Below are 8,918 nucleotides of genomic sequence, written 5' to 3'. Positions count from 1 at the left end.
CTGCTTGTGTCCAGGAGTTTGAGACCAGCCCGGGCAACATAGTCAGACGCCATCTCTACAAACAATTTTAAAAAATGAGTCGGGCGTGGAGGTGTGCACCTGTAGTCCCAGCTACTTAGGAGGCTGAGGTGGGAAGATGGATTGAGCATGGGAAGTCGAGGCTGCAGTGAGCTGTGATTGCACCGCTGCACTCTGACCTGGGTGACAGAGTGAGACCTTGTCTCCAAAAAAAACAACAACAAAAAGAAGAAATGAAAATCTAGAAAAATACGTGAAATCTTTTCCTGTCAAATGTTTCCCCCTAAGCTTTAATGATCCTATTTCATTAAAGGAAATATGGGAGAATATTGATGACTGGCAGCACGTAGTGGTTAAGAGCACCGGACTGGGAGCTGGAAGAGTCTGTGATTCTTGAACTCCTGGGCTCAAGCGATCCTCCCACCTGGATCTCCCAAAGTACTGGGACTACAGGCATGAGCCAACATGCATGGCCGAGTCTGTGATTCTTTACTGGAATGGAGTGACGTGTGTTTTCTTCTTAAATGACATCGTGAATTTCCAAGGTCCTTGAAATCTCTTTGCATCTCTTTCCAATTTGCCATTGCTATGCCTGAAGTTCAGTTGGAATGCTTATATTTCAGCTTATCACATTACCTATATTCTGATCAAATATGTTATGGCATCGAAGCTAATTTTGAGACATGGTCCCTAGGCCGTGGGACCTAATGACCAGAGATGGAAGTCTATGTGCTGCTTCTGTCCCAAGGGAGATGAGTATCTGTTAGGGGCTCACTCGGGACTGTGTGGTGCTACCTGAGTGCGACACAGATGCTGGAGACTTGAGAAGATATCACTGTAGACTCCAACCCTGTTATAGCTGATGAGGAAAAAACTGAGAGTATTTATTATTGCCCCCACAAAATGCACATATTTTATTATATTGATAAGATGTGAACAATATGTTATTCCTCAATATTCTGCAGGTTGCCTTTTCATTTTGTTGATTGTTACTGAATTCTTCTACCCCCAAAAAGGATTACATGAGAAGATTGTGAACAATTGTTTGCCAACAAATTAGATAACCTAGATGAAGTGGACAAATTCCTAGAAATGTACAAACCATGAAAACTGACTCAGGAAGAAATAGATTTCATTTCCTTCAGATCTATACCCAGAAGTGGGAGAGCTGGATCATATGGTAGTTCTATTTTTAATTTTTTGAGGGTCATTCACAGGCCTGGAGGCTGAAGAGGGAAGAATGGTTTTTTGGACCCAGCCCAGAGCCCTGCTGGCCTGAGCACCCTCGGGACACTGCTATCTGCGCCCCAGCTGCTCCAGCTCCAGCCATGGCTACAAGGGCCCCAGATACGCCTCCGGCTGCTGCTCTGGAGGGTGCAAGCTGTAAGCCTTGGTGGCTTCCATGTGGTGTTAAGCCTGCGGGTATGCAGAGGGCAAAAGTTGAGGCTTGGGAACCTCTGCCTAGATTCAGAGGATGTATGGAAACGCCTGAATGTCCAGGCAGAAGTCTGCTGCAGGGGCGGAGCCCTCCTGGGGAACCTCTACTAGCGTAGTGCAGAAGGGAAATCTGGGGTTGGAGTCCCCACTGGGGCACTGCCTAGTGGAGCTGTGAGAAGGGGGCCACCATCCTCAAGACCCCCGAATCATAGATCCACTGACAACTCGCATTATACTCCTGGAAAAGCTGCAGACATTCAATACCAGCCCAGGAAAGCAGCCGAGGGGGCTGTACCCTGCAGAGCCACAGGAGCGGAGCTGCCCAAGGCCTCAGGAGCCCACCCCTTGCCTCAGTGTGGCCTGGATGTAAGACATGGAGCCAAAGGAGATTATTTTGGAGCTTTAAGAATTAATGACGATTTTCTGCTCCGCCCGCCCACAGATGTAGTTTCCTCCGCACGTGCGCACCTTCCCTCCTCCCCGCCTGCAGGGTCCATGGCCTCCATGGCGTTTTAGGGGCAGCAGTGCCTGTGGCAGCCTTGGCCTTTGCAGCGGTGGCAGCAGCACCAGGCTCTGCAGTGGCATCCACCGGCGGCTTAAGCCGTAGCACTTCTCACAGCATTCAGCAGCAGCATTGCTGTAACCGACAAAGACACCTTCGAATTAAGCACATTCGTTGATTCCAGCAAAGCACTGCACCATGACCGAGATGAGCTTCCTGAGCAGCGAGGTGTTGGTGGGGGCTTGATGTCCCCCCTTGACCAGTCAGGTTTGGGGACTGAAGAAAGCCTAGGTCTCTTAGATGACTACCTGGAGGTGGCCAAGCACTTCAAACCTCATGGGTTCTCCAGCGACAAGGCTAAGGCAGACTCCTCCGAGTGGCTGGCTGTGGATGGGTTGGTCAGTGCCTCCAACGATGGCAAGGAGGATGCTTTCTTTGGGACAGATTGGATGTTGGAGAAAACTGATCTGAAGGAGTTCGACTTTGATGCCCTGTTGGGTATAGATGACCTGGAAACCATGCCAGACGAGCTTCTGGCCACGTTGGATGACTCGTGTGATCTCTTTGCCCCCCTAGTCCAGGAGACTATTAAGGAGCCCCCCCAGTCCAGGAGACTATTAAGGAGCCCCCCCCAGATGGTGAACCCGATTTGCCATCTCCCAGAAAGTTTAACCCGACCAGGTTGCCCCCTTCACCTTCTTGCAACCTCTTCCCCTTTCCCCAGGGGTCCAGTCCTCCACTCCAGATTATTCCTTTAGTCTAGAGCTGGGCAGTGAAGTGGATATCTTTGAAGGAGCTAGGAAGCCAGACTCCACTGCTTACATTTCCAAGATCCCTCACTGCACAAAGGAGGAAGACGCCCCCTCAGATAATGATAGTGGCATCTGTATGAGCCCAGAGTCCTATCTGGGCTCTCCCTCTACCTCCAGGGGCTCTCCGAGTAGGAGCCCGCCATCTCCAGGTGTCCTCTGTGGCTCTGCCTGCCCCAAACCTTATGACCCTCCTGGAGAGAAGATGGTAGCAGCACAAGTAAAGGGTGAGAAACTGGATAAGAAGCTGAAAAAAAAATGGAGCAAAACCAAACAGCAGGAACTAGGTATCGCCAGAAGAAGAGGGTGGAGCAGGAGGTCCTCACTGGTGAGTGCAAAGCGGTGGAAAAGAAGAACGAGGCTCTGCAAGAGAGGGCGGATTCCCTGGCCGAGGAGATCCAGTACATGAAAGATTCGATAGAAGAGGTCTGCAAGGCAAGGGGGAAGAAAAGGGTCCTCTAGTTGAGGGTAGTCAGGAGCGTCAATGTGCTTGTACATAGGAGTCTCGCGCTGTAGCTGTGTGTTCGAATAAATTATTTTGTAGTGGAAAAAAAAAAAAAAAAGAATTAATGACTGTCCTGTTGGGTTTTGGACTTGCATGGGGCCTGTAGCCCCTTTGTTTTGGCCGATGTCCCCCTTTTGGAAAGGGAGTATTTACCCAATGCCTGTACCTCAATTTTATCTTGGAAGTAGCTAACTTGTTTTAGATTTTACAGGCTCATAGGCAGAAGGGACTTGCCTTGTCTCAGTTGAGACTTTGGACTGTGGATTTTTGAGTTAATGCTGAAATGGGTTAAGACTTGGGGGACTGTTGAGAGGAGATTATTGTATTTTGCAATGTGAGAAGTACATGAGATTTGGGAGGGGGCAGGGGTGGAATGATATGATTTGGATTTGTGTCCCCACCCAAATCTCATGTTGAATTGTAATCCCTAGTGTTGGAGGAGGGGACTGGTGGGAGGCGATTGGATCATGGGGGTCGATTTCCCCCTTGCTATTCTCGTGATGTTGAGCTCTCACAAGATGTGGTTGTTTAAAAGTGTATAGCACCTCCCCCTTCACTTTCTCTTTCTCCTTCTCTGGCCATATAAGATGTGCCTCCTTCCTCTTTGCCTTCCGCTATGATTGTAACTTTCCTGAGGCCTCCCCAGCCATGCTTCCTGTAGAGCCTGCAGAACTGTGAGTCAATTAAACCTCTTTTCTTTATAAATTACTCAGTCTTAGGTAGTCCTTTATAGCAATGCGAGAACGGATTAGTACCGTCAATATTGATGAGAATGTTGAGCTATGTGTATGTACGCTGACACATTATGGTGGAAGCGAAAATTGGCTCAAACCACTTGGGAAAACATGGCATTATCTAGTAAATTTCGAGATATGTATTGGCTGTGATACAGCAATTCCAAAAAAAAACTTGGACATGTGCTTCAAGAGACCTGTACAAGCATGTTCATAGCCAAGGGCTGGAAACTATCCAAATGCCTGCCCATCATCAGCAGAATGGATAAATTAGAGGACTATAAAACTCTGCCGTAATGTAATAGGTAGTTTCCAAGAAATCCAATCGCATACAATGTGAAAATGTGTTACTGTGGGGTTAATGAAATGAATGAGGCAAGCCCGCTGGACCATCCAAATCTGTCCTGCTCCCGGCTGGAGTTTGATGCCATCTAGTGGCAGACGTTGCTCTGGCTGAAATATTGATGGAGATTTCCGGTCCAGTGGCTGGCTGAGACTTCCAGGACAGTGGCAGTATCTCCAGGAATCTCTCAATCAGTTAGGACTTCCTTTCTTGACTTGATCTGAGGATAATAGGCCGGGAAAATAATGGGGACCCGGAGACCCTCCCTCTGTCTTCCTGCTTCCTAAGACAGGGTCACATGCACTTTACTCTCCCTTCCCTGACCTGTTGAAGGTAAGAACTTTAGCCTGCCTCTGTCTGAGAATGGGGAGACTGAGCAGAGGACGACAGGAAGGATGGCAATCACTAACCGGGTTATGTCTGATTTTCAGCTATTCCAGGTGTTAACAAGTTGTGTTCTCTGGTTTTTAAAATTCATCATTTAATGAAATATATGTAATGAAATACAGCAGTGAAAATAATAAACTGGAGGTACACGCAAGAGCTTGGGTGAATTTTTCTTTTCTGTAAGTAAAAACATTTTTAACTGATGTATGATAACTCTGCATATTTATGGGATACATGTGATATTCTGATACATGCACACGCACACACGATGTAATGATCAAGTCGGGGTATTTAGGATCTCCACCACCTCAAGCATTTATCATTTCTTTTTTTGGGGAACATTTCCTATCTTTTAGCTATTTTGAAATATACAATAAATAATTACCTATAGTCCCTCTACGGTGCTATCAAACACTAGAACTTAATCCTTCTATGCAACTATATGTTTGTCCCCATTAACCTCCCCACCCTCCCCACCTTTCCCAGCGTCTGGTAACCATCATTCTGCTCTACCTCCAAAAGATCAACGTTTTTAGTTTCCACATGAGTGCCAATATGCTTTTCCCAGGTGCAGAGGCTGCTGATTCCTGGATTTGGAAGGTGGGGGAGAGTGGTTTGGATTTCAGTACCTCCCCCTTCCTCAGGGCTAGGCCCTGTCTGGTCACCTCCTGTTGCTACAGGTGTGCCTGGCACAGACATTCAGCTCCCGGGGCCGTGCCGCCCTCACCCCTGCATGCCTCTAGAGGTACCTGTCCCGTGGATTTGACCCCCTTCCAGACACACAAATAGATCACCACTGAGCAGACACAGGGTCACCTCCCAGCTCCCTACCAGGCAAGAGCGACCAGGGCAGGGACTGATACTGCCGAACCCAGGAGCCAGGCCCGACCCAGCCTCAGGTCCAGCAGGTCCCGCCTGTCCACCTGGGCCAGGCCTAGAGCCCGGGAGCCCCTGGCTGGTGGGAGGCCACCCGCAACCCACCCCACACGCAGCTCCAGCTCCCCCACCAGGCGGGGCGACTAGGACAGGGACAGAACCCGTTGAACCCAGGAGTGAGATCCGGCCCCGGGTCCCGCTGGGCCCTCCCGTCCACCTTGGCTGGACCTGGCGCCTGGGAGACCTTGGCTGGCGCGAGGCCACGCCCACCAGACATGCAGTTCCAGCTACCCCACCAGCTGGGCGACCAGGACAGGGACGGAGGCTGCTGAGCCCAGTTAGAGGCCTGCCCCCCGGGGTCTGTCCTGGGCGCTCCCCCAAGGACGGACAGGGCAGGCAGGGTCCGGGACGATGGCCGCACAGTCCCGGCCCCGTGTTCCCAGGCCCGTCTTGCTCCTCGATGTGAGGGAGACCCGGGGGATGGGACAGGCTGGGCCCCGCAGTGCCTGACTCCCTGCAGGGCTCCCGGGACAGGGGTCCGGCGGACAGCCGGCTGCTCAGGGGTGAGGGGTCCAAGCTGGCATTGCGGCCACCTTCCGGCCCGGGCTCTCTTGGGGAGGGGCGGGGTTGGTGAGAACCGGTCACGTGCTCCGGGGCTCACTCGGGGTCTCCCAGGGCCGGAAGTAGGGCCCCTGTGCGCAGGCGCCCTGAGGATCCCGGGCTGCCCATCTCACGCCAGGGGGCGGAACTTCCTGCAGCCTCTCTGCCTCCGCATCCTCGTGGGCCCTGACCTTCTCTCTGAGAGCCGGGCAGAGGCTCCGGAGCCATGCAGGCCGAAGGCCGGGGCACAGGGGGTTCGACGGGCGATGCTGATGGCCCAGGAGGCCCTGGCATTCCTGATGGCCCAGGGGGCAATGCTGGCGGCCCAGGAGAGGCGGGTGCCACGGGCGGCAGAGGTCCCCGGGGCGCAGGGGCAGCAAGGGCCTCGGGGCCGGGAGGAGGCGCCCCGCGGGGTCCGCATGGCGGCGCGGCTTCAGGGCTGAATGGATGCTGCAGATGCGGGGCCAGGGGGCCGGAGAGCCGCCTGCTTGAGTTGTATTCTGTTCTGTTCTGTTCTGTTCTGTTCTGACAGTTCTGGTGGCGAGGTGGGGGCCGGGAGATGGGGAGGGCAGGGCCAGGTGGGGGAGGAGGCGGGGGAGATGCGAGTAAGTGGTTGGGTGGGGGTGGGGGTGGGGGTTGGGAGGTGGGGATATGAGAGGCCAGCTGCGAGGAGGGGAGGAGGTAAGGGCTGGGAGGTAGAGGGGGTGGGGGTGGGGGAGAGGGGCTGGGTGATTGGGTGAGGGGCACCGGGTCATGCGGGGAGGGGAGCAGGGGCCAGGAGATAGGGGGACCCAGGTGTAGGAGGGGATCAGGAGGTGGGGGGAAGGGGGCAAGATGGGAGCGGGTGGCGGGAGGTGGTTGGGATGGAGGGTCGAGTGATGAGGAGGGGGCCGGGTGATGCCACAGGGGGCAGGGTGGGGAGGGGTCTTGTAAGGGCATGGAGGAGTCAGCTTGGGGTGCAGCAAAGGAAAGTGGGGAACCAAGACAGCTGGGTGGGGTGTGCTACTGGGCCAGTGCCTGGGGAGACAGCCTGGGGGGGATGGGCTGGGCAATCCGGGGTAGGGGGGAGGGGTGGGGGAGTGGGGGAGGGGGAAGCTGGCCTGGGGTAAGCAGCAGGCCGGAGCCACAGGCCAAGTCCTAGGAGAGGATGCCTTAACTGGGCCCCCACCAGCTACCTCGCCATGCCTTTCGCGACACCCATGGAAGCAGAGCTGGCCCGCAGGAGCCTGGCCCAGGATGCCCCACCGCTTCCCGTGCCAGGGGTGCTTCTGAAGGAGTTCACTGTGTCCGGCAACATACTGACTATGTCAGTTCAGGACCAGGACAGGGATGGGGCCTGGGTGGGTGGCGGTCACAGCGTGGCAGGGTGGGGGCTGGGATCCGCCTACACCCCACGGTCAGGCTGCTAGAAACCTGGGAACACCCCAGCACAGGGTCTCAGAACAGAGACCTGGTACACCAGGCCCGCCGCCACCCGAGGGAGCCCAGGGAGATGGGTGCAGAGGTGTCGCCTTTAACGTGATGTTCTCTGCCCCTCACATTTAGCCGACTGACTGCTGCAGACCACCGCCAACTGCAGCTCTCCATCAGCTCCTGTCTCCAGCAGCTTTCCCTGTTGATGTGGATCACGCAGTGCTTTCTGCCCGTGTTTTTGGCTCAGCCTCCCTCAGGGCAGAGGCGCTAAGCCCAGCCTGGCGCCCCTTCCTAGGTCATGCCTCCTCCCCTAGGGAATGGTCCCAGCACGAGTGGCCAGTTCATTGTGGGGGCCTGATTGTTTGTCGCTGGAGGAGGACGGCTTACATGTTTGTTTCTGTAGAAAATAAAACTGAGCTACGATTCCGTGTCTGAGTCTCTTTTCGGCGAGCGAAGGCACCTTCGGACTTGCATGCCCTTGTCCTCGGGTTGCAGGGGAGGCTCTGGGATTCACAGATTGAAGTAGCACAAGGTAACGGGAGGCAATTTGGGAAATGGGGGAAAATGAAAAGCCACTGGGTCCCGCCATTCAGCATTAACTACTGTGGACATTTTAGAATATTTTCCTCAATATACTTGCATTTATATGTTAAATATATGACAGTAGCATATATAATGTTTTTCCAGGTCAGCATTAAATTTTTTCCCAAATTGTTTTCATTGAACATATGAGCTTTTTTACTTGGGAAAAATTCTTTGAAAACGTACTTGAATAGATGCATAGAACCAGCATTATCATATCACTGTTAAGCATGTGATATGGGTTGGGCATGGTGGCCCACACCTGTATTTCCAGCGCTGTGGGAGGCTTGAAGCGGGAGGATGGCTTGAGACCTGCAGTTGGAGGCCACCCTGGGCAATGTAGCGAGATTCTGTCTGTAGAAAAATCATTAAAAGGCCGGGTGCGGTGGCTCATGCCTGTAATCCCAGCACTTTGGGAGGCCGAGGCGGGCGGATCACCTGAGGTCAGGAGTTGGAGACCAGCCTGGCCAACATAGTGAAACTCCATCTCTACTAAAAATACACACACAAAAAAAACAACAACAAAAAAACATTAGCCAGGCGTGGTGGTGTGCGCCTGTGATCCCAGCTACTTGGGAGGCTGAGGCAGGAGAATCACGTGAACCTGGAAGGTGGAGGTTGCAGTGAGCCGAGATGGTGCCACTGCACCCCAGCCTGGGCAACAGAACAAGACTCTGTCTCAAAAAAAAAAAAAAAAAAGAAAGAAAAGAAA

At 53.3% G+C, this 8,918-nt stretch overlaps 1 protein-coding gene and 1 pseudogene across 1 annotated transcript; both read left to right on the top strand.

The window, feature by feature from the left end:
• ATF4P1 (activating transcription factor 4 pseudogene 1) lies at positions 1,876–3,316 on the top strand (annotated as a pseudogene).
• CTAG1B (cancer/testis antigen 1B) lies at positions 6,374–8,047 on the top strand. The gene is made up of 3 exons (NM_001327.3): positions 6,374–6,706; positions 7,383–7,517; positions 7,757–8,047. Exons 1-3 carry the CDS (start codon positions 6,438–6,440, stop codon positions 7,893–7,895), a joined length of 543 nt encoding a protein of 180 aa, NP_001318.1. The 5' UTR covers positions 6,374–6,437; the 3' UTR covers positions 7,896–8,047.
• The last annotated feature ends 871 nt before the right edge of the window (positions 8,048–8,918 follow it).

The sequence above is a fragment of the Homo sapiens genome, chromosome X, assembly GCF_000001405.40.
Source record: "Homo sapiens chromosome X, GRCh38.p14 Primary Assembly".
In the NCBI taxonomy this organism is placed as follows: domain Eukaryota; kingdom Metazoa; phylum Chordata; class Mammalia; order Primates; family Hominidae; genus Homo; species Homo sapiens.
The sequence above is the reverse complement of the archived record's forward strand: the minus strand, read 5'-3'. Positions and strand labels throughout refer to the sequence as shown.

Coding starts and splice junctions, on each gene's coding strand:
- CTAG1B (NM_001327.3), top strand. CDS start 6,438: ATGCAGGCCGAAGGCCGGGGCACAGGGGGTTCGACGGGCGATGCTGAT. Junction 6,707..7,382: donor GAGAGCCGCCTGCTTGAGTT/GTATTCTGTTCT, acceptor GGCCCCCACCAG/CTACCTCGCCATGCCTTTCG. Junction 7,518..7,756: donor TCCGGCAACATACTGACTAT/GTCAGTTCAGGA, acceptor CCTCACATTTAG/CCGACTGACTGCTGCAGACC.